The sequence below is a fragment of the Homo sapiens genome, chromosome 17, assembly GCF_000001405.40.
Source record: "Homo sapiens chromosome 17, GRCh38.p14 Primary Assembly".
In the NCBI taxonomy this organism is placed as follows: Eukaryota; Metazoa; Chordata; class Mammalia; order Primates; family Hominidae; genus Homo; species Homo sapiens.
Window position 1 is genome coordinate 68465752 of NC_000017.11, and position 26048 is coordinate 68491799.

Here is a 26048-nt window from a genome sequence, read left to right on the forward strand (position 1 = left end):
AGCCATCGCGCCCGGCCTGTCTCAGCTTTCTTGAGCTGTGATGAGTGTATAGGCAATGGTGATTCACAAAAGCAGACTTGCATCTTAGAAAGCTCCCTACAGCAGCAGTAGAGGATGTCGGAGAGGGGCGAGTGATGGGGGCAGAGACCAGGTGAGAGGCTGGTATGTCAATTCAAGTCAGACACTGGAACTTAGGTGCTTGCTGTGGGTGGAGGTAGAATGTATAGGACTCAGTGGCCTATTACATGAGGGAACTGGGAGAGGCAGGTCAGCATGGAGATTGGTTGTCAGTGTAACTTGGGTTTCCCCTGACCTTACTGACTTCTGCGTGCAAATGGGCCTGTCGTGCAAATGGGCCTGTGTTATCACTTACCCAAATTTCACCGGCTTCTTCCTCTACCTTTTATAGAACATACAGCTCCCTCCAAAGCCTTTCCTATTAATTACTGGGAGTCCCCGGAAATGCCTCGCACGTGCGGGGACCTGCCCTTTTAGGCTTTGCCCATAGGGATTTTTGTTTCTGCTGATGAAGGCCCTTGTGATTGATGCCTAATTGCTGCCACCTGCTGGAGTCCACTGTAACAACACTGAAGTGTTTCTTCCCACCAGTACACACCCTTTCTGCTTGTATTGAAATGTTATTTATGTTTTCTCTCTCTTTTTTTTTTTTTTTTTTTTGAGACAGAGTCTCACTCTGTCACCCAGGCTGGAGTGCAGTGGTGCGATCTCGGCTCCCTGCAATTTCTGCCTCCCAGGTTCAAGCGATTCTAGTGCCTCGGCCTCCCGAGTAGCTGGGACTACAGACACCTGCCACCACACCTGGCTCATTTCTATATTTTTAGTAGAGACAGGGTTTTGCCATGTTGACCAGGCTTCTCTCTATCTCCTGGCCTCAAGTGATCCACCCCCCTTGGCCTCCCAAAGTGCTGAGATTACAATCGTGAGTCACCGTGCCCAACCATGTTTTCTCCTATCTTATGTTAATGTGGAGAATTATATTGAGTAATTTTTTATTGAAGTGAAATTTACATACAGTTAACCATTTTTAAGTGAACAACGCGGTGACATCTAGTGCGTTCACAAGGTTGTGCATCCACCTCCGTTATCTGGTTCCAAAACATTTCCATCACTCCGAAAGAAAACCCTGTACCCCTTAAACAGCTACTACCCATCCCTCCTCCCCAAGCCCTTGGCAATGACCAGTCAGCTTTCTGTTTCTATGGATTTATCTATTCTGGATATCTCATATAAATGGAATCACACAATACGTGGCCCTTTGTGTCTGGCTTTCACTTAGCAGAATGTTTTCAAGGTTCATCCACGTTGTAGCATGTGTCGGTATTTCATTTCTTTTTATGGCTGAATAGTATTCCTTTGAATACGCATATCACAATTTTATACATTTATCAGCTGAGGGACATTTGGGTTGTTCCCATCTTTTGGCTATTGTGAATATCATGAACATGTGCATACATGTACTTATTTGGTACGTGTTTTCAATTCTCTTGAGAACACTCTGAACTCCTAGGAGTGGAATTGCTGGGTCACCTGGTAATTCTATGTTTAACTTTTTGAGGAACTGCAAAACTGTTTTTCATAGCAGCTGAACCATTTTACATTCCTATAGCAGCATACAGGGACTCCAGTTTCTCCATATCCTTGCCAACACTTGTTATTTTCTGTTTTTTTGTTTTTGTTTTCCGAATTACTATAGCCATCCTTGTGGGTGTCATGAACACTAAAGTTTTATGAGATGCCTGCAAACTGCAAACCCTTGGGACATCTAACCAGTGCTCGATGCCCCAGCATTCTCACTGAGTCAAAGCCCTACTGTACTCTCAAGATCCCTGTGCTCATTCTGGGTCACACTCTTGACACCTGGACAATAAGTTTCAACACAGAGCTCTCTCTTTATGAAGCTCAAATGGGAGTTCAAGAACTCGATATCTGAAGCAGATCCCAGGCTTTCCTTCCTGGCCTGTTCTTTCCAATCTTATCTTTCATTCTCCTAGCTAAAATCTCTTGATATACCACCAGCTCTTTAGGTACACTGGGATATGATTGCTTCCAAACTTAGCTGCTTAGCTTCGGCCGGGGATCTCTATTATGCAGGGGTTGTTGTTGTTGTTGTTTGTTTGTTTTTGTTTGTTCATTTGTTTTGGAGACACGATCTTGCTCTGTCACCCAGGCTGGAGTGCAGTGGTGCCATCATGGCTCACTGCAGCATTGACTTCCCAGGCTCAACTGACCCTCCCACCTCAGCCTCCACAAGTAGCTGGGACCACAGGCACATACTACCATGCCCAACTAATTTATAGATATACATTTTTTTTAGAGAGATGATGTTTTGCCATGTCACCCAGGCTGTGATGGAGGTCCTTGTTAGGATGGAGAGTGGGGCCAATCATGCAGATGATACAGAAAAATAAACACTGAGGACCAGAAACTTTGGTCCCTTTGGCTGTAAGGAAAACCCTGTGTGACATCAAAGAGGGCATGTCTAGGAGGTATTTGATATCTGCATCTGGGGCTAAGGGTAGATATGTGAGATTGGGAGAGAGATCTAGGAGTCATTGGGGGAAGATGTAGTAGCTGAAGCTGTGAGAGGAGGCAGGCTGTAATGGAAAATGTGTCAGTTGGTAAAGAACTGGAACGAAATGTCCTGGTTTGACGTTTTGAGTATTCCTTTAATTTTAGGAACACTATCAGAAAAGAGGCTAGCTTGTGAGCTGAGTCGGCTGCAGCAGCTCTAAACCACACATTGCTGATGAGTGAGAACCTCTGTTATAAATGGAAATGTGAACTGGCAAATGCTCATTGGCTAAAGCTGAATGCACCAGTTTATTTTGGTACCTATTATGTCCATGATCTCCTATTTTCCTTATTGATTGCAAATACGCACGAGGAATAAAAAGCTGGCTTGCTTTCCAAAAACATGACTGAATGTTTTCACTGCTGAATATCTAAAGAGGGTACAGATTGGACCTTTCATTATTTCTCTGAGGTTAGAAATGTCCTTTGGTGGGTTTCTAATTTTTCATGAAAGGTCAGTTCCAGAGACTATTTACATGCTGTTAGGAAAAACATCAAGCAGACAAGACATATCTCAAAATATTTAAAGTGGCCCATTCCTAGGCTCTCAGCTCTTCTCTCTCCACTTCCTCTCCAGGGATCTGTTCCACAGATGGGGGCTTAAGTCAGCCTCTATCTATAGGTGACCCTTGTCTGACCTTATACTCTGGAATGCTCCATATGCCTCTGACTTTCATCCCAGGGAACATCAACACCCACTTCCGCTGGCATTCCTGATGGGATCTCTTTCTCCTGAGCAGTTGAAAGAGTCCTGCTTCAGTGACTCCCAGGGAAAATTGAGAGAGTCATTTTTTTAAAAAAAGAGATTTATCCCACACCAAAACAGGAATCACTCATTTTGCACCATTTTAGGCACTGTCTATTTTCAAGGTAGGCTGCTTTTTTTTTTCTCTCCTGTTCTTCCAATCCATGAACATAGTATAGATTGTTAAGTCCTTTTGAAGTGTAAAATTTCCCACAACCACATAGCTCAATTTCTTCTACCCCCAGGAGCTTTTTTTTCTTTTAATCACATTAGCCTGTGTATTTCTCCCAAAACAGTTATCAAAACTGAAATTATCTTGTTGATTTCTTGGTTTACATGTTTACTATCTGCCTCCTCCATCTAAAACAAAGTTCCATGAGGATGGGGTCTCCTGTCTTCTCCTAGCACCTAGAGCAATGCCCCCATGTATAGGTGCTCATGAAATGTTTGTTGGCTGACTGACTTACAGAATCAGTTGCTTAAATATCATACAAAACTTTCCATCATGAATGTCCTTTTTTTTTTTCCCTCTCTTGAGTAAGGATGTTGTCCTGATTTAACTAGCATTATTGACAAATGCCAATTAACTGTATTAGTGGCTCTCAAGCTTTTGGATGCTCTTTACACTCTTAAAAATTATTAAGGACCCCAAAGAGCTTTTGTTTGTATGGATTATATCTATCATTACTTAGTGAAATAGAAATTAAAACTGAGAATTTAAAATATTTATTAATGCATTAAAGTAATAATAAACCCATTATATGTTAACATTAATATTATTTTTTATACCCCCAAACATACAAAACACAGGGAGAACAGAGGCATCGTTTTTTGTTTTTGCATATCTCTTTCATGTCTGGTATAATAGAAGACAGCTGAATTCTTATATCTGCTTCTGTATTCAACGTATCATATCACAACATCATGTAGCCTTTGAAAAACCCCTCTGTGCACTTGTGAGAGAATGTGAGTAAAAAAGGCGAATAACATCTTAGATTTTTTTTTTTTTTTTGAGACAGAGTCTCACTCTGTCACTCAGGCTGGAGTGCAGTTGCGTGACCTCGGCTCACTGCAACCTCCATCTCCCAGGTTCAAGTGATTCTCCTGCTTCAGCCTCCTAATAGCTGGGATTACAGGAGCGTGCCACCGCACCTGACTAATTTTTGTATTTTTAGTAGAGGCAGGGTTTCACCACATTGGTCAGGCTGGTCTGAAACTCCTGACTGCGTGATCCACCCGCCTTGGCCTCCCAAAGTGCTGGGATTACAAGCATGAGCCACCGTGCCCGGCCCATCTTAGATTATTTTGTAAATAGTTTTGACTTCATAGATGCCCCAAGAGAGTCTTGGGTAAACCCAGGGATTGCTGAAGCACATTGAGAACCAAAGATTGATATTAGTGGAGAGGAATATTTTTCTTTGTCTTTGAACTACATTATCTTTAAACACTACTTTTCTCTTCGATATCCTTTGCTTAGCTTAATATTAAAATACATTTGCATTCCTCAAATCTGCCAAAGGTGGCCAAGATACATAGTGAGGAAGGGGTGATGGAAAAACAAACCAAAGGTTAATAATTCGTTGCTTTTATACAGACACATCCACATACAAACAAAAAAACAATAAAAACATGTGCCTTTGTGAAGCATGCACTGTGTGCTCTATATTTTCCAAAGATTATCTCTATTATTATATCAACATTTCCAGGCAGGAATTATCAGCTTCATTTCATAGACAAAGAAATGGAGGCTCAGAAAACCAAAATAATGTATGAAAGATTGCCAAGCTAATAAGTAATAGAGAGGTGACTGCCACCCCCAAATCTCTTTTCTTCCAAAAGCATGGCCTTTTTGACCATCAAATTCTAGATTACCACAAAATGGGAGGGAAAAACTCAGAAACAATGAAGAGTTCACTGTACACATTAGCCTTATTGTTTTGTATAAATGAATAAAAAAACTAACTCCTTTTTTTCTTCTAGTGATGTGTAAATTTAAAAATTCAATGCATTTTTTCCCCCAGATTTGAAAAGTAATACACCCACAGCAGAAAACTGAAAGACAACTAAATGTCCATCAGTAGGGGACAGGGTGGTTGCATTAATTGCGACACACTTGTGGATGCAATACTATGCAGTCATTAAAAAGAACAAAGCAGCTCTATTGGTACTGAAATAGAACTATCTCTAAGATGGGAAAAAATAAGGTGGCTCAAGTTCTACAGTATGCTGTCATTTGTATTTAAAATGTATATATGAATATGCACTGGTAACTGGTTGCTTTTGTGAATTCAGTAGAGGGACAAGCAGGAGGCAGCTTATTTTTCTGTAACCATAATCTCCTCCTCCCCCAGACATAGACCTTGATGTGTGGTATGGACAGAAACCCTAACTTTTCAGAGAGCAGAACCATCCAGCCATGTGTAACATCAAAACATCACTCTCACAGCCAATTCAAAATGGCTAAGCCCCTCTATTCTTTTCCCACCTCCTCCTTTCCGTTCCGTCTCTCTCTCTGCCTGAGTTGGGGCCATGAGAGGGGATTACTGGGAGAGGGGGGAGGTCTTCGCCAGGGATGTCCCTGTAGTACTTTCTTGCCTAATGCTTTTCTACTAGGGGAGCTCTCCAAATGTCTGCAAATGCCTGACTGTCTCAGAGGCCCCCCACTTGTGGGGTTATTCAGAGGACTCCCGTGAGACCTTCTGAATGGCCTAGTTTCTTTTCTTTTTTTTTTAGACAGAGTCTTGCTTTGTTGCCCAGGCTGGAGTGCAGTGGCGCGATCTCGGCTCACTGCAAACTCTGCCTCCCAGGTTCAAGCCATTCTCCTGCCTCAGCCTCCCGAGTAGCTGGGATTACAGGCACCCGCCACCACGCCTGGCTAATGTTTTTGTATTTTTAGTAGAGACGGGGGTTTTACCATGTTGGCCAGACTGGTCTTGAACTCCTGGCCTCAAGCAATCCGCCCGCCTGGGCCTCCCAATGTGCTGGTATGACAGGCCTGAGCCACCGCGCCCAGCCTGCACTGCCTAGTTTCTAATAGGAGTGAGGAGGTGTGGTTCAGCTGTCTTCTTGTGCTCAGCTCCTTCCCCAGTGCCCCACCCACACAACCCCTTTCTTCTGTGGCCCAGGCAGGTGGCAAGTAAGGCCATTCAGGATGGCTCCAGCCTTGCTAACTCCCCCAGCCTCTATGACTCTCGAAGCTCTCAGACCCTCACCTTGCCATGGGTGGAGAAGTCCTCCCCACACTACCATTTCCTCACCCCTCCATGTTCTGGGGGACACAGGTGGAACTCCCAGGAACTTTCCTGCTCCGGGCGTGTGAGTCTTCACTGCACTACCAAGTTTCCAATCAGGGCCAGTGACTTAACTTGCAGACCCCAGTGCAAAATGGAAACGTAGGGTTTCCTGTCCAAAAAACAGGAGAAACTGCTGTTAAAGACACTAAAACATAAAGCTTTTCTTTAAAAATATTTTATTTCTAAATAAAATGTAATAGGGAAAAGAGTGATGCGTGAGCATCACACTTAACTTACAAGTTGCAAAAAAGTTAACATTTTCGTGTCATCATTTTATGTAATGGCTGGGTGCAGTAGCTCATGCCTGTAATCCCAGCACTTTGGGAGGCCGAGGTGGGCAGATCCCTTGAGGCCAGGAGTTTGAGACCAGCCTGGCCAACATAGTGAAATCCTGTCTGTACTAAAAATACAAAAATTAGCTGGGCGTGGTGGCATGCCACTGTAATTCCAGTTACCCAGAGGCTGAGGCACGAGAATCACTTCAACCCGGGAGGCGGAGGTTGCAGTGAGCCAAGATCATGCCACTGTACAACAGCCTGGGTGACAGAGTGATACTCTGTCTCAAAAAAAAAAGTAATAAATAATAAATTGTTAATGTGGTATTTGATTGATCATTAGATTTTTCTGCTCACTTTTCTGCAAATTCATTCACTAGGTCATCGACATACTTTCAGCAACTTCATTTTTAATTGATATAATTGAAAGTGATATCAGCCTCTCTTGGCAAATGCTGGATCACAAATAATTTTTAATAATGAGAAAAATTATTCTGTAGATGCAACTTTTGGCTCTTGCTACAGCCTCCACAAGTTACAGGAGGTGACAGAGGAAATATTAGAATGTCATTGTACACACTTACATTTAAACTAAAATTAAGTCTGGGCACAATGGCTCTTCACACCTGTAATCCCAACACTATGGGAGGTTGAGTGGGAGGATCAGTTGAGCCCAGGAGTTGGAGACCAGCCTGTGCAACATAGTGAGACCTCAACGCTCCAGAAATTAAATAAATAAATAAATACACTTAAATTCAGACTCACATAGAACTGATTAGTGTGAAAAGATAAAACTACTGATCTAGCTACAGATCTATCTGAAAACAGTTGATTTGGTAAATCAATTGACCTATTTTATTATTTATTTATTTATTTATTTATTTGAGACAGAGTCTCACTCTGTCGCCCAGGCTGGAGTGCAGTGGCACGATCTCAGCTCACTGCAACCTCTGCCTCCCGGGTTCAAGCAATTCTCCTGCTTCAGCCTCCCAAGTAGCTCGGACTACAGGCGTGCGCCACCATGCCTGGCTATTTTTTGTACTTTTACTAGAGACGGGGTTTAACCATATTGGCCAGGCTGGTCTCGAATTCCTGACTTTGTGATCCGCCCACCTCGGCCTCCCAAAGTGCTGGGATTACAGGCGTGAACCACCGCATCTGGCCAACCTATCTATTTTATATGGATTGTTGATTTCTGGAAAGATGGAGAGAAACTGGAAACGGTGATTTCCAAGTCTCTTCTCATTCCCTAAAACCTTGGAAACTGGGAGAATGGGATGGGAGAGAACTTATTCTTTATTGGTATAATTTGCCATTGTTTGGCTTTTTAAACATGTGCATGTATTCGTTTTTTGATTTAAAAACTTGTTAACAAGAAAAGGAACTCTTGAAGAAAAAAATGCATGTTAACATAAGATCTTCATACTCAGTTGATCATTGATACTGTTTTCATTCTTGCTAATCTTTCTAAAAACCACCAAATATATTTCTATATTCATGTGTATTATACATAGCTATATATAGTTTAGGTATCTTCAATTCAGCTGAAAAATGTTAAGCCTAAACATTTCCAAATTTAGAGCATTTAGTCACATCAACTCTGCTTTTCCCTGGGGCTAAGTTTTTGGAAAGGTAGGGAGTCAGCTGTCATTTCTGCTGTTTTTAAAAAGGTGAAGTGTGCTTCCTAACAAATAAAAAGGATGCTGACAGAAGGTTACTTTCTGCGTTGGACTCCCCAGGCGTGTACAGGAGGTGTTTGAGGCTTGAGTGACTTGTACAGCAGTGCCCCGGGGGCCCGCTTGATCTCCGGTTGTCTGATGTCACACATAGTGAGAAGTCTGGCAACAGGAAGGCAGCGCGGCCTTGGGCTGATCCCGTGACGAGTGGTCAGCAGTGCACCGTGTCAGGCGGCTCTCTACAAGGATTTCTCAATCAGCTTATCAAAAATAAATAAATAGGGCGGGAGCAGTGGCTCACACCTGTAATCCCAACACTTTGGGAGGCCGAGGCGGGCGGATAACGAGGTCAGGAGATCGAGACCATCCTGGTAAACACGGTGAAACTCCGTGCCTACTAAAAATACAAAAAATTAGCTGGGCGTGGTGGCGGGCGCCTGTAGTCCCAGCTACTCATGAAAATCGCTTGAACCCAGGAGTGGAGGTTGCAGTGAGCCGAGATCGCGCCACTGCACTCCAGCCTGGCAACACAGCAAGATCTATCTCAAAAAAATAAATAAAGATAAATAAATCACAATCAAAATGCCCAAGTTTTCCTATTTGCTAACTTAAGTAAATTTTAAAAAAAATGTAATGTCTTTTTAAGTTCTAAAATCTAAGTTGGATTTATTTTTGTAATGAAAGAATAGCTCAACATCTGAAAATCAATGAATACATTTAATGCACTTTTAGCATATAAATCGATAAAGAGGGAAAATATAACCCTCTCAACAGATCTCTTAGTGGATTGATATGTTTCAAATCCATTCCTGATAAAAATTCTCAGCCAGCTGGGAATAAAAGGGAACTTCCTTAACCTAATAAAAAAAATCTACCAAAAACTTCTAGCGAATATTATACTTGTTGTGGAAACATGGAAAGAATTTCCTTGGCATCAGGCAGGACACCTGTGCCCTTGTTTCTACATTGTAGTTAAATGGGTGAATTAAATCTTCATATGTCAATACAACCCCTTGTGTAAAGCATAATACTGAACAAAGAAAGCAAGCAACAGCAGGATGAGTATAACATGAAACAATTCCTCTCTAAGTCCTGCTGTATAGCTTCATCCTAGCCATTTTATTTTGTTTTTATTCATTATTATTTTTTGAGACAGAGTCTTGTTCTGTTGCCCAGGTTGGAGTGCAGTGGCACAATTTCATCTCACTGCAACCTCCACCTTCTGGGTTCAAGCGATTCTCGTGCCTCAGCCTCCTGAGTAGCTGGGACTACAGGCGTGTGCCACCACGCCTGGCTAATTTTTGTATTTTTAGTAGAGACGGGGTTTTGCCACGTTGGCCAGGCTGGTCTCAAACTCCTGACCTTTAGGCAATCTGCCCCACGCGGGGCAGTGTTGGGATTACAGTTGTGAGCCACCGCGCCCAGCCCATCCTAGCCATTTTGATACACAGACTTTTCGTTGTATCTCAGGTCTAAACATTTTCTGATTTTCATTATAGCCACTTCTTTGATACATATATTTTTATGCATATATATGTAGAATATTTTAAAATTTCTAAAATATTAAGTTTTTTGTTATTGTTGTTCTCTTTAAAGTTGATTTCAAATTTTGCAGAGAATATGGCAATGTGATGTTGATTTTTTGGGGGGGTTATTATGTTTTGTTGATGCCTTCTGTGTAGTTTAATATGTTTTGATGCCTATGGCCTGGTCAATTTTGGCAATTGCCCTATAGTGTTTACAAATAATGTTAATGCACTAATTGTTGAGTGCCTAGCTCTGTCTACTATAATATAATATTTATAATCTACTATAATATTTATAATCTACTATAATCTACTAGGTCAAGCTTTTACATTATATTGTTCAAAGCTTTTACCACCTTGCTTATGTTTGGGTTGTGTGATTGAACCAATACTAGGAGATGGTATGTTAAAAACTCTCACTATGGCTAGAAGTTGTCATATTCTATTTGCCTTTACCAGGTATTTGAAGGCAGAAGGATCTCAGGTTATCTAGCCTGTCATGTTGCAGGAAGTGGAGGTCTCCATTTTCCCCCTTTCTTTATTAAAAGAGATATTTTTAGAAATAGATAATATATGCACATTGTTCAAAATTTACAAGTACTGAAAGGCATGTAGTGAAAAGTGTTTGACCCCTTCTCTGGGCTGTGGCCACTCAGCTTTCCTCCCGGGGCAACCACTGTTACCAGCTTCTTACCAGTCCTTCTGGAATTTGTCTGTCCGTCTCTCTCATTTTCTCTCCTTTTCTTCTTCTCCTTCCTTCCCTCCATCCTTCCCTCTCTCCCTCCCTCCATCCCTCCCTCTCTCTCTCTCTTTCTCTCTTTCTTTCTTTCTTAGATGGAGTCTCGCTCTGTCACCTAGGCTGGAGGCAATCTCGGCTCACTGCAACCTCTGCCTCCTGGGTTCAAGCGATTCTCCTGCCTCAGCCTCCTGAGTAGCTGGGACTACAGGTGTGTGCCACCATGCCCAGCTAATTTTTGTATTTTTAGTAGGGATGGGGTTTCACCATGTTGGCAGGGTGGTCTCGATCTCTTGATCTTGTGATCCGCTCACCTCGGCCTCCCAAAGTGTTGGGATTACAGGCGTGAGCCACCGTGCTCGGCCGAGATTTCTACTTTTAATGTCTGTTTTGTTCTCCCAAATTCTGAATTCTGCAGTATATCAAAATAATATGGCTTTTGCTATTTATTCATTTACAAATTTTTAGACAAGGACTTTCATTGTCTTGGTACAATAGAGAAGTCCCAAACACTCTCTTCTTCAGTCATATAGTAATTTTATAAATCCACAACAATCATCTTTGCATATGACAGTAATGATCATAAACCTTTATTCCTTTATTCGTCATGCATCAAATCTGGTTGACAATGAGAGGATATCAGAACACTCATCCTTCCCTCCATCACTTCTAATTCATTTAATTCTTTTCTTTTCTCTGCTGTATCTCTGCTTTTACATTTTCTGCCATTAATTCATCATTATCATGTAAATTTTATTCACTTCAGAGCCAAGACTCACTATGAGACTGCAGTTGCACCAGTAAATATTCAGTTTTACAATCTTAATGTCATAGTCTGGAGAATGTTTCAAGTGTTGGGTTCAAGTGAATTCTCCAGTTTAATGCTACTCCAGATCTTTTTCCAAACTCTTATCAGCCCAGCAAGTTGACAGAGTTGACAGATATCTTTTTTCCCCGTGTGTACTTATTTCCATATTATTCAACCCATCTGGTCAAATTCAGATTCAGTGCTTTCTGGTTTTCTACGCAGATGATTTTCAGTTACTTCCCTTCATTTTTTCTCCTATGTTCGATCTAATGCTTCAAATACAATTTTATTCTTGTTTTTTTTTTTGGTATATCTTCCATTTTTATTTATGTTATTTGAGATGGAGTTTCACTTTTGTCGACTAGGCTGGAGTGCAGTGGTGCCATCTCGGCTCACTGCAACCTCCACCTCCCGGGTTCAAGCGATTCTCCCACCTCAGCCTCCCAAGTAGCTGGACTTACAGGAACACGCCACTACACCCAGCTAATTTCTGTATTTTTAGGAGAGACGGGGTTTCACCATGTTGGCCGAGCTGGTCGCAAACTCCTGAACTCAGGTGATCCGCCTGCCTCAGCCTCCCAAAGTGCTGGGATTACAGAGGATGGCCGCTGTGCCTGGCCTGGATTATATTTTCAAGTAAGCTTTAACAAACTGTACTTGAGACACAACTTTATGAGTCCTTTAATGCCCCAAAATATCTATTATGTTTTCACATGTTCTTTGATATTTTGGCTTGGAATGTAATATTTTGTTTAAAAACATTTTTCTTGGCCGGGTGTGGTGGCTCATGCCTGTATTCCCAGCACTTTGGGGGGCCGAGGGGGGTGGATCATGAGGTCAGGAGATCGAGACTATCCTGGCCAACATGGTGAAACCTTGTCTCTACTAAAATACAAAAAATTAGCTGGGCATGGTGGCGTGCGCCTGTAGTCCCAGCTACTCGAGAGGCTCAGACAGGGGAATCACTTGAACCTGAGAGGCGGAGGTTGCAGTGAGCTGAGATCACACCACTGCACTTCAGCCTGGCGACAGAGTGAGACTTCGTCTCAAAAACAACAACAACAACAACAAAAAACAAACCAAAAAACCCATTTTTCTCTCAACACATCGAAGGCAATATCAGATTGCATTCTAACATCCACTGTGTTGATGAAAGTTTGTATTGCGATCTGATTATTGTTCTTTTGTTATGACCATTTAGAAATATGTGTGTGTGTGTGTGTGTATCTGAATGTGTCTATATTTTATATTCAATGTTCAGAACTTTCATAATACTAGGCCTAGGTGTGTTAAACCCTATGGTTTTAGTATGTATATGTTGGACAGTTTTGTTTTTTTTTTTTGAGACAGACTCTCGCTCTGTAGCCCAGGCTAGAGCACAGTGGCACGATCTCGGCTCACTGCAACCTCCGCCTCCCGGATTCAAGCAATTCTTCTGCCTCAGCCTCCCGAGTAGCTGGGATTACAGGCACACGCCACCATGTCTGGCTAATTTTTGTATTTTTAGTAGAGACGGGGTTTCACCATGTTGGTCAGGCTGGTCTCGAACTCCCAACCTCAGGCCATCCGCCCACCTTGGCCTCCCAAAGTGCTGGGATTACAGGCATAAGCCACCGCGCCCAGCCTAGGCAGTCTTAATCCATTTCTCCATGTAGATTTACTGTAGGGAAAAAACTTAGAATGCTTTAACTATAGTTATCCACATTCTCTTTTTGTCCAGTATTTTAGTTTCTACATTGTTCTTATACTTTTCACATTGGTAATTACAGCTATTATTTTTATCCAGTAAAAACTTGTTTAGGTTTATTCACAGTCTTAATATTTTCTTTTGTTTTTATTTCTTGTGTTTTATTCCTTCATCTTCGTACTGTGAGGTCAGCTGTGGATTGAATTGCTGTTCCATTTTAGGTACAGATGACATAATCTCTTTTTCCTCTTGTTGCTTTCTACATTTTCTTTTTGTATTTGGTGATTTTGCAATTTTGCTTTGCTATTTTTTGGGTTTGGATTTATGTATTCTGAATGGGAACTGGCATGTTTTCCGATGCTCACATCTATAGTTTTCATCAGTTTTGGATGCTATCAGCCATCATGTTTCAGATACTTCTTCCTCATCATCTCTGGGGTTTTCATTGAGAATATGTTATTTTTAAAAATGTACTTCATCCTCTATGACTCTTAACTTTCCTATTTTCCAGTTTTTATTTTTCTGTGCTGTATTCCATGTAATTTTATCAGTCTTTTCTTCAAATTTACACATTTTCTATTTTTCTGCATTTAACATCCTGTTTAACTAGTCTACTGAGATTTTAATTTCAGTGATTCCTATATTAGTCCATTCTCACACTGTTATGAAGAAATACCCAAGACTGGGTAATTTATAAAGCAAAGAAGTTTAATTTACCCACAGTTCCACATGGCTGGGAAGGCCTCAGGAAACTTTCAATCATGGTAGAAGGGGAAGAAAACACGTCCTTCTTCACATGGCAGCAGGAGAGAGAATTGCTGAGCAGAGGGGGAAATGCCCCTTATAAAAGCACCAGGTCTTGTGAGAACTCACTCACTATCATGAGAACAGCATAAGGGTGACCACCCCCAGGATTCAATTACCTCCCACCAGGTCCCTCCCACAGCATGTGGGGAATATGGAAACTACAACTCAAGATGAGATTTGGGTGAGGACACAGCCAAAGCTTATCAATCTCATGTTTCATTTCTAGAAGTTATTTGATCCTTGAAAAAAATATAGCAGTTCTTTTAAATCCTAGGGTTTTCCCCTTAGATTCTTTCTTTAATGTCTTCGATTATGTAAACATACTTGATTGAAAGTATTTTTGGACTGTTTTATAATTTAAAGTTTTGAGCATTAATATTCTATTGCGAACTCATCTTCTGGGTAGTGCTATTTATGAGAATCCCTGTGGCCTGAGTTATGGGAAGGACCTTCCAGGGAGGTTTTTGTTTCTTCTGTTAGGTGCCCCAGGGATATCATTATCCCGGGACATTTTTAAACATTAATTTATCAGTTCAGGGGTTCCCAGACAACCCTGCTACTATATATTTCAGATCCAAACCCACTGGAAATGCAGGCTAGGGGGTTTAGTTTCTCAGGGGAAAACTATTTTACCCAGACTCAGATGACACAAGCTTTTTTACTTTTTTTGAAACAGTGTCTCATTCTGTTGCCCAGACTGGAGTGCAGTGGTGCAATCATGGCTCACTGCAGCCTCAACCTCCTGGGCTCAAGTGATCCTCCTGCCTCAGCCTCCTGAGTAGCTGGGACTACAGGCATGTGCCGTGAGGCTTGGCTGATTTTTGTAATTTTTTTGTAGAGATGGGGATTCATTATGTTCCCCAGGCTGGTCTCGAACTTCTGGACTCAAGCAATCTGTGTGCCTTGGCCTCCCAAAATGCTAGGTGCAAGCCACCGTGCCCAGCCAACACAAGGATTTTTATCTTCCTGAGCTACTGGATAATTTTCTACGTTTTTACTTGGTAGTAGACCTTGAAAGTCCTCAGTTTTATTCAGGAATCTTAGATTCAATTCTCTACCTCATGCAGGTCCACAGCTTCATCTCTATGTCTACATAGGTAAGAAAATATAAGCCTGTAGCTTATCGGTCTAACAGTCAGGTGTCTCCCTACCCAGTTATAGCAACAGCTCACCCTCTTGTGGGTGGTTGTATTTTCAGTGCCATTTTTGTTTGTGCTTTTTATTTTGCCTGTTTGCCTGTGGCATGTTTTTGGCCCTTGAGGTTTCCCTTTCCTCTTTGAAAGCTTAGTTACGCATTAAAACCGCAGTCCCCAACCTTTTTGGCACCAGGGACTGGTTTTGTGGAAGACAATTTTTCCATCAACCAAGGTAAAGTGGGATGGTTTTGGGATGATTCAAGCTCATTACATTTATTGGGCACTTTATTTCTACTATTATTACATGTAATATAGAATGAAATAATTATACAACTTACCATAATGTAAAATCAGTGGGAGCCCTAAGCTTGTTTTCCTGCAACTAGACGGTCCCATCTGGGGATGATGGGAGATAGTGACAGATCATCAGGCATTAGATTCTTATAAGAAGCACACAGCCTAGATCCCTCACATGCACAGTTCACAATAGGGTTCTTGCTGCTATAATAATCTAATGCCCATGCTGATCTGAGAGGAGCAGAGCTCACAGTACTGGTCTGTAGCCCAGGGTTGGGTACCCCTGCATTAAAACATTATATTAATTGATCTAGAATTTCCAGGTAGCCAGACATTTTTCTCTTTATCATAGTCTTCCATCTTTCTGGAACCCTGGGATAGTTATTCATACAGCCATTCATTCATTTTTTTCGTGTGATATTATTTAGGCACCCATTGTATGCTGGTCAGTGGGGATATACACAGTTGAATAGACCATGTCAAAGCCAGTGGAAGCTTGAGTTGACAAGGAACACTTCTCGGATGGATGGAACTTAAACCGAGATTTGTTGATTACGGAAAAGGAGACATATGTGTGTCGAGTGCTTGCTTGGTACGTGCTAGGCAATGCGCTAGGTGCCAGGGCACAAAGTGGAAGAAATGCCCTACCTTTAAGGAGTTTATAATCCAGTGGGTGGAACCAGAGACAGACTAGGAGATGGGTCCTGACTGTGTGGCAAGTGCTGTGTGTTCCAGTGGGGGATGTAAAAGCCACCAGGGGAGCAAGAAGACAGGGCAGGTCAGAGACGATGTCTCCAAGGAGATGTTGGAGTTGAATTTTGAAAGATGAGTGGCGGTGAGTAGGATGAAGCGACAGGGAAAAAGACAGACGGATTTGACTGCATGTAATTTAAAACTTATGTCGTCTTTATTGGCAATTTACTATATGCCTGGCATAGTGGTGCATGTTTGCACACATTCTCATTTTAGCTTCACAAAAACCTTACGAAGATGTTATTACTCTTTGACAGACAAGGAAACTGAGGCTCAGTTGTTTGCCCAATGACACACAACTGTTGGGAGGTAAAACTGGAATTCAAATACAGTTTCATCTCATTTATATGCTATAATATAGAAACAAGGATTATTGGGACTTTTTTTACGGTGCTGTAATAAGGAAGCAATCACTAGCTTTTCAAGAGGAAAAAAATAAATATTTTAAATGGCAAAGACATTTAGGATTTTAAAATTCCTCTTTGTTTTCAAGTTTTGTACTTCCTTCACTCTGGGGCAATAACCCTAGACACCGGGTGAAGGTTAAATAGCTCATTAAGCTTAGCGTTATCAAACCAAATATTGCCCGTACAATAAAGGTAAAAAGAATGGGCAGAAAAGGAGGCTTTGTGTGTCTATCCATTGGCTCCCTTATCTGTTTTTACTAAGGTCAATCGGTGGACAAAGGAAGGGCCAGATGTCCTCAAATTGCCTTCAGCATATAAACTATTTGCTCTCAGCAAATATATCAACCATTCCCACACTGGGGTGACAGACCACCTGGAGCAAGCTATGAGTTTTCCAGGCAGAAAGTATTTCTTTATGATTCCAGCTTGATGTCTGATCATATCTGGATGTGGCTAATTGTTTGTCCTTAGTTTTGAGGAAGTCCAATTTATCAGTTTTTTTGAACAAATCATGCTGTGGTGTCAAACATAGGAAATCATTGGCTAACTTAAAGTCAGAAAAGAATTTCTTATGTTGTCTTCTACATATTCGTTAGTTTAGCTCTACATTGTGATCCATGATCTAGTTTGAGTTTTTTTTTTTGTCTATGATGTGCATGGACCCAAGTTCATATTGGTTCATACAAATCATCAAATTGCTCCAGCACCGGGCCAGGCGCAGTGGCTCACACCTGTAATCCCAGTACTTTGGGAGGCAGAGGTGGGTGAATCACCTGAGGTCAGGTGTTCAAGACCACCCTGGCCATTATGGTGAAACCCCATCTCTACTAAAAATACAAAAATAAGCTGGGCATGGTGGCCAGCCCCTGTAATCCCAGTTACTCAGGAGGCTGAGGCAGGAGAATCACTTGAACTCGGGAGACAGAGTTTGCAGTGAGCTGAGATGACGCCACTGCACTCCAGTCTGGGAAATAGAGCAAGACTCCGTCTTAAAACAAAACAAAACAAAAAAAGCTTCAGCACCATTTGTTGAGGAGGTGGTCCTTTTTCACTGCATTGCCTTCACATCCTTGTTAAAAATCAATTGTCAGGCCAGGTGCGGTGGCTCATGCCTGTAATCCCAGCACTTTGGGAGGCCAAGGCATGTGGATCACCTGAGGTCAGGAGTTCAAGACCAGCCTGACCAACATGGAGAAACCCTATCTCTACTAAAAATACAAAATTAGTTGGGTGTGGTGGCGCATGCCTGTAATCCCAGCTACTTGGGAGGCTGAGGCAGGAGAATTGCTTGAACCTGGGAGGTGGAGGTTGCGGTGAGCTGAATTCATGCCATTGCACTCCAGCCTGGGTAACAAGAGCAAAACTCCGTCTCAAAAAAAAAAAAAGAAAGAAAAGAAAAAAAATCAATTGTCCATATATGTGTGTGTTTGTTTCTAGACTCTGTTCAGTTCATTGATCTATTTGTTAATATTTATGCCAATACCATGTTGTTTTATTACTGGGGCTTTATAATGACTTTTGAAATTAGGTACCATTAGCCCTCCAACTTTGTTTTTGTTATTCTAGGTATTTGTGCCTTTCCTTATGAATTTTGGAATCAGCTTGTCAATGTCTACAAAAAATCCACAAACAACTGCAGGCATTTTTATTGGGATTGCCCTGAAACTATAGAGTAATATGGGGGAGAACTGACATCTTGGCAATACTGACTGTTTTGGCACACAAACAAATTAAATCTATCCATTTATTTAGGTCTTTAAAAATTCATCTCTGTAATGTGTTGTGGTGTCCAGTGTACTGCTCTTGCACATCGGTCAGATTTATCTTTAAATGTTTTGTATTTTTGATAGTATTAGAAATGGGAGTTTTAAATTTAAAATTTTTCATTGTTAGTAGATAGAAATTCAATTAATTTTTTTATTTTGACTTTGTATCCTACAACCTTGCTAAACTCACTTATCGTGGTATCTTTTTTTTTTTTTGTATTCCATCGGGTTTTCTACAATTTTACTTCTTCCTTTCTGATATGGATGCCTTTTATTTCTTGCTTTTGCCTTGTTGAACTGACTAGATCTTCCATTATAATGTTAAATAAGAGTGATGAGAGTGGATGACCTTGACTTGATCCTGATCTTAGATAGAAAGCATTCAGTCTTTCATCATTGAGTAAAATGTTCCAGGTTTTTCACAGATGTCCTTTAACAGGTTGAAAAAGCTCCATTTGGGTCAGTTTTGGAATCTCATCAAATGTAGCAAGAAAGGCTGACAAACAAAGTAGTGTTTTCCATCCCGACAGAGAAAGCAAGTGAGGGTGAAGTCTCAGATTCTGGAGACAATCCAAACTAACAAAATGTCCCTAAATTTGTCATGAAAATAAAAGTGGGGAGTCAAAGGATATTGTTCACTTTCATAGTTCAAGGCAAAGTTAAATGTGCTATGTTCACTTTAAAATGAATGTGTTTTCTGCCACAATGGCAAAGAATTAACAAATTAGCAATTTAGTTTGTAAGAGATCCACGGAATATATTAAGACATTGCAGATGTTATCTGTTTTACCAAGGACTCAAAGAACAACTTGAACTTCTATGATTTGCTGGATTCAAGGGCATACTGTGGGCTGCCTTTCTGCTAATTAGATTATTTTACCCACCAAACTATCATGGAAAAATGATCAAACAAGCAGTAGTTTACGCACATAGAACAATTTGCCTAGAATTGAAGGTAAGCTCAAGACAGATGGAGAGTGGGAAACAAAGATCAACTTCGCTTCCACAAATAGCTGAGTGCTGAGTGACCCCTAAAATGAGCTAATATTGGGCAAGGATATTGTCCTAGACCTCAGAGTTCCCCTTTATCCTTGGATTGTGTTGTATAATGCAGCAGTGGGTTTGCTTGGTAAAAGAGAAAGAGCAAAGTAAAAAAGGGGAAGACATCTGTTACTTCTATTGAGTTAAGCCTTCTAAAAATATTTCCCTTTTAGTGACCACTTGTTATTTTGACCCTTTGATCTTTTGCTTTGGAAATAGGACCTTTGAAACTCTTCTGCTTTCCTCCCTGTGTTTGTAAAATGATGATAATGCCCGCACCACAGAAGAAGAGACTCCGTTTTACATCCAAAGCTTTTGGAGATAAGGGGTTGAAGTGGCTGAAGGAGAAAACACTCCAATTATTCTTGCGAGGCATAAAGAATTACAGTTTTTCATCTAAAACTTTACTTAGAATCATTCCACTGATCCTAAAGAAACATACTTTAAGTTTCTTTATTTTGAGACAGAGTCTCACTCTGTTGCCCAGGCTGGAGTGCAGTGGCGTGATCTCAGCTCACTGCAGCCTCCACCCCCTGGGTTAAAGCGATTCTCCTGACTCAGTCTCCCAAGTAGCGGGGATTACAGATGCGTGCCACCATGCCTGGCTAATTTTTGTATTTTTAGTAGAGATGGGGTTCTACCATGTTGATCAGGCTGGTCTCCAAGTCCTGACCTCAAGTGATCTGCCCGCCTCAGCCTCCTAAAGTGCTGAGATTACAGGCGTGAGCCATCGTGCCCAGCCTAAGTTTCAGTGATCGAGCCCCACAATCCATAACATGTTTAGTGATTCAGTGAACTGTTGATTCATCAAAGGGAAAGAAGACATTCTCCCAGCAATCAGCCACTTTGCAATCAGTTTCACCTCAGTCACACTGGTGCCTGGACTAAGAGAAGAGCTCATGAGGTTTTTTTTTTTAATGTCCGCATAATTAAGGAGTCTTGGACATATACATGGCTTTGCAGGAAACTGTTCTATGAAGTGATTGGGCTGAAGTCTGTCACAGCATCAGGAGGCACAAGCTCCTTATCTTGGGGCTGCCTCTTCCTCCTTCTTCTCATCCCCCTCTTCCTCTTATTCTTTCTTTCTTTCTCTTTCTTTCTTTCTTTCTTTCTTTCTTTCCTTCCTTCTTTCTTTTCCTTCCTTCCTTCCTTCCCTCTTTCTTTCTTTCTTTCTCTCCTTCCTTCCTTCCTTCCTTCCTTCCTTCCTTCCTTCTTTCTTTCTTTCTTTCTTTCTTTCTTTCTTTCTTTCTTTCTTTCTTTCTTTCTTTCTTTCTTCTTTCCTTCCTTCCTTCCTTCTTCTGCTTTCCTTCTTTTCTCTCCTTCCTCCTTCTCCTTCTCCTAATTAGCTTTCTCTTCCCTCTTCCTATTATAAAAATAAATTATGCTCATTGTAGAAAGTGAAAATATAGTGTGACTGTGTACTTTTGCTCTGGAATGAAACTTGAGCTGAAAATCTGGTTCCATTGCTAACCAGCTGCATTACCTTACAGAAGTCACTCATCTAATATGCCTGTGCCTCAGGTACCCAAGTGTTAATGGGTATACTAATGCTAGTTACCTCCCAAAGTCGATGTTGTGCGGATTTTTTTTTTTCTCAGATGATGTCTTGCTCTGTCACCTCAGCTGGAGTGCAGTGGCATGATCTCGGCTCACTGCAACCTCCGCCTCCCAGGTTCAAGCAATTCTCCCAACTCGGCCTCCCCAGTAGCTGGGATTACAGGTTTCTGCCACCGCACCCGGCTAATTTTTGTATTTTTAGTAGAGATGGGATTTCACCATGTTAGCCAGGCTGGTCTCGAACTCCTGACCTCGTGATCCGCCCGCCTCGGCCTCCCAAAGTGCAGGGATTACAGGCGTGAGCCACTGCGCCCGGCCTGTTATGTGAATTTAATAAGACATTCATGTACACACATTGCACAGTGCCTGGCACATAGGGAAATCTCAAAGTATGGTTTTGTTAATAAAAATCAGAAAAATGTAGATAACCAACATTATAATTCAACTGCTGGGAAATAAACTTTACCTCCAGGTACATTTTTACATTCTAGTGTTTTCAAATGAAGGCTACCAAGTTAATTAATCAATACTTACTTAGCCTAACACTATGGTATATATTGAGAGGCATATAGTTATAACTTAAGCCAACGTTTCCTGACTTTCTCCTGTGCTAATAATTTTTCTGTATTCATTCATTCATTATTGACTTATTGGAAAAGTGGTTTGGGGTCGGGCGCGGTGGTTCACCTATAATCCCTGCACTTTGGGGGGCCAAGGCGGGTGGATTGCTTGAGGTCTGGAGTTCAAGACCAGCCTGACCGACATCGTGAAACCCCATCTTTACTAAAAACACAAAAATTAGCCGGGACTGGTGGTGGGCACCTGTAATCCCAGCTATTCAGGAGGCTGAGGCAGGAGAATGGCTTGAAGCAGGAGGCGGAGGTTGCAGTGAGCTGAGATCACGCCACTGCACTCCAGCCTGGGCGACAGAGTAAGACCTCATCTCAGACAAAAAAAAAAAAGAAAAAAGAAAAAGGAAAGAAAAGTGGTTTTGTGGTTATTTTGCATTTTCTTTGTGCCAGATAGTGTTCTGGGTATCAGAGGCATAACAGTGAACAACAATAATAATGAAAAAAAACTCAAAAATAAATAAAAAAAATGCACTCATGAAGCTTACGTTTGTATGAAAGAGAGAGAGAGGGAATAAACAGACTAGAGAAATTCATGTAATACGTCAGATCGTGATAAATATGAAGCACAGGGGAGTAGGGGGGTGGCATGGGGAGAGTTGCAATTTGAAGATGGCCAGGTGGCTTTTGAGCACAGACCCAAGGAAGTGGGGCAGTGAGCCCTGAGGCTGTTTGGGGAGGTCTATGTTTCAGGTGGAGGGAACAGCCTGCCCTGAGATCGAGGTGGGCCTGGCTTATTTGAGCAACAGCCAGGATGTCTGTGGCTGGAGAAAGGTGGGAGCAGGAGAGAAGAGCTGAGGTCTGAGTCTGACAGTGGCCAGATCTAAGGAGCTTGCACGCCATTGCAAGGCTTCTCTGTCCCATATATACAACCTGATTGGCTTCTGGCCTGCTTTGACCTATGAAATGAGAGAGGAAGTGGCAAGTGTCCCTCTCAGGAAGAAGCTTTAAGAGCCAGCATGGGGCTGGGTGCAGTGGCTCATGCCTGTCATCGCAGCACTTTGGGAGGCCGAGGTGGGAGGATCACTTGAGGTCAGGAGTTCCAGACCAGCCTGACCAACATGGCAAAACCCCATCTCTACTAAAAATACAAAAAAAATTATCTGGATGATGTGGCTCAAGCTTGTAATCCCAGCTACTTGGGAGGCTGAGGCAGGAGAATTGCTTGAACTGGGAGGCAGAGGTTGCAGTGAGCTGAGATCATGCCACTGCACTCCAGCCAGGGCAACAGAGTGAGACTCCATCTCAAAACAAAAAAAAAAAAAAAAAAAAAGAGCCAGCGTGGGCTTCTCCATCATTCCTTTCCCTCTGCCACATGGTTCTATAAAGAGGTCACCTTTTAGACCTGAGCTCTGGAGTGAAGAAACTATGGAACTGGATGTCAGGCTCCCTGGTGGATATGGTGTGAGAAATAAGCTTTCAGAGGGCTCTTTCTCTATCCTGTGTCTGAATTGGGCTTGTCTTGAAGCTGTGTGTGTAAAGCACTTTACACAATTTTTAAAATATTTATTTTTTATTTTTTAAAAATTTGAAAAAAAATGCTCAGATTTTTCCTAAGGCTTGTCTGAATAAGTTTGGGCTATTTCTAAACCCCAGAGGTGGGGCTGACCAGATTGAAGTTATCGGTTAAAGATTTAGGTAGCTTTCCTAGGAGAAATAGGATAGAGGTTGGGTAAATACTAAGTGAGCACCCATCTTGGAAAGTATATATATATATATATATATATATATATATATATATATATATGGAAAGTATATATATATATATATATATATATGGAAAGTATATATATATATATATATATATGGAAAGTATATATATATATATGGAAAGTATATATATATATATATGGAAAGTATATATATATATATATATGGAAAGTATATATATATATGGAAAGTATATATATATATGGAAAGTATATATATATATATGGAAAGTATATATATATGGAAAGTATATATATATATAAATGGAAAAAATATATATATATGGAAAGTATATCTATATATATAGATAGTATATATATATGGAAAGTGTATATATATATATGTATATATGGAAAGTATATATATACACACATACTTCTCTTTTTGAGAAAGAGTCACCCATGCTGGAGTGCAGTGGTGCAATCTCAGCTCACTGCAACCTCTGCCTCCCAGGTTCAAGTGATTCTCATGCCTCAGCCTCCCAAGTAGCTGGGATTACAGGTGCGTGTCATCACACCCGGCAAATTTTTTTTTTTTCTTTTTAGTAGAGACGGGGTTTCGCCACGTTGGCCAGCCCGGTCTCGAACTCCTGACCTCAAGTGATCCACCCACCTTGGCCTCCCAAAATTCTGGGATTATAGGCGTGAGGCACCACGCCTGGCTGGAGAGTATATTTTTGCTCCAAAGAGGTGTGGGGTATTTAGATATTACCAGGGACTGGTGGGAGAATGGTAATTGGTCCCTTAAGTAATATAAAGGGGTGTGAATCTTTTCTTTTAGAGAGAGGGAATGCCATTTGCCCTGATTACTCAACAGGATTTGGAGGAGAGTTGTTTAGAAAAGGAGATGAGCACAGAATAGGCAGCTTTTGAACCCAAAAGGGAAATGTGTCATTTTACTTGCCTCCCTTGGCTTGTCTTGTTGATGACGATGTCTGGTTTGGAAGCCAGCCGGCCTGAGCAGACAGCCCTTCAGCTCCAGGCTAACAGGGGTTGGGATTCTGTCCCAGGGTCCCTTTGGCCCTCTGGGCAGTCCCATTTCACTGGCTGAGCTTGTGGCAGAGGGGGCAAGCGTGCGGGGCCTTTCCCCATTTATCCCATTGGGGCCCTTTGTTTTCCAGTGTCCTGGCTTTTTGTACCTTTGGCAGTTACCTGGAGGAGTATCCTTAGGGCAACATGGAGAGTGCTGGAGAGCTTGTAAAGCAGCCAGTTGTTGAGGTTGCCTCTTGTCCCGCATTTCTCCTTTTTCTTAGCCCTGTCCTCCTATTCTGATCTGGGTTATAAAAGACAGAGGAGGCTAATCTGAGGACCTCCTGCACAGGGAGTGTTGGGTTCCATGGCTGAGTTTTGTAATTTCCTTCCAGTTCATTTTTAGGCCAAGCAGTATCACAAAGGAAAACTTTTTTTTTTCTTAAGGTTTGGGGTAATAAAACTTTTCCCAGTTTTGGGGATGCATCTGAGGGGCGTGTCCTGTGGTATGGAGATGCGATTACCCATCTGTGAAGAGAGAATAGAGGAGAAAAAGGAAAAAAGAAAGCACTCCCTCTACTTTCCTATTATCCTGAATGGGGCATCCCTCATCATCCTTTGGGTTCCAGAATGAAGCAGTCTTATCGTGTACCCTTGGCCCCATCTCGTCACATTACCCGCTTGAGAACAGAGGAGATACTGGAGTGAAGAGTGGGTCCCATGTTTATCCTTGAGGTTCTAGAGTGAACTGTCTTACTGTATACCTCTAACCTTGCCTTCATCTCTGTTCTAATGGTAATCTGTTAGCCTGGGATCAGCCTTCATCTCTGTCCTATGGGTCTCCTGTGCCTGTGGCCTTGGACCAGCCTGTATCCTTGTCTCCAAGACTCTCACTCAGAGCATTTTAGCAAAAAAATGATTATTTCTTTCTTTCTTTTTTTTTTTTTTTGAGACAGAGTCTGGCTCTGTCACCCAGGCTGGAGTGCAATGGCATGATCTCAGCTCACTGCAACGTCTGCCTTCTGGGTTCAAGTGATTTGCCTGCCTCAGCTTCCCAAGTAGCTTGGATTACAGGCATGTGCCACCATGCCCAGCTAATTTTTGTATTTTTATTAGAGATGGGATTTCACCAAGTTGGCCAGGCTGGTCTTGAACTCCTGAGCTTAGGTGATCTGCCCGCTTCAACCTCCCAAAGTGCTGGGATTACAGGCGTGAGCCACCGCGCCCAGCCAAAATGATTATTTCCTTTGTCAGATGCCTAGTTCCCATGTTCTTCAAGTAGACAAGAAGCCTGTTTTTCAGCTCACTGCTGCAAAGGGGCTGGACTTCCCTCCCTGCAAGATTTGAATATGACCTTGCAGGACTTGATGCTTGTTGAGAAGGGCGTGGAAGTAATTAGAGAAGTGGAGGCTCCAGGAGGAAGTGGGAGGAAGTGGGAGGAAGTGAGAGGAACACTTGTGGAAAGCCTTCATATGCTTGCAAAAAGAGCAGACCTCGGATTCAAGAGGGCAATATTCATTTGCCCTCTTGACATAAAGTAGCAACCTCTGGAGGACTTGGGGCTTGGAGTAAGAACTCACAAATAGCAAAAGCAGAATTTCCCCTCCTCCCAAGTGGTGCTAACGCACAAAAAAAAAAA

General features: G+C 41.8%; 1 protein-coding gene across 1 annotated transcript in view, besides 1 other annotated feature; it reads left to right on the forward strand.

Annotated features, from left to right (window-relative positions):
- PRKAR1A (protein kinase cAMP-dependent type I regulatory subunit alpha) overlaps positions 1-26048 on the forward strand; it is a 137694-nt gene that overhangs the window by 52129 nt on the left and 59517 nt on the right. The gene's annotated exons all lie outside the window — the stretch shown is intronic.
- Positions 537-586: a silencer, noted in NCBI's record as "silent region_8902". NCBI's record gives its function as "represses an Ori minimal core promoter by ATAC-STARR-seq in GM12878 lymphoblastoid cells {active_cell/tissue: GM12878}" and the evidence as "EXISTENCE:reporter gene assay evidence [ECO:0000049][PMID:35858748]".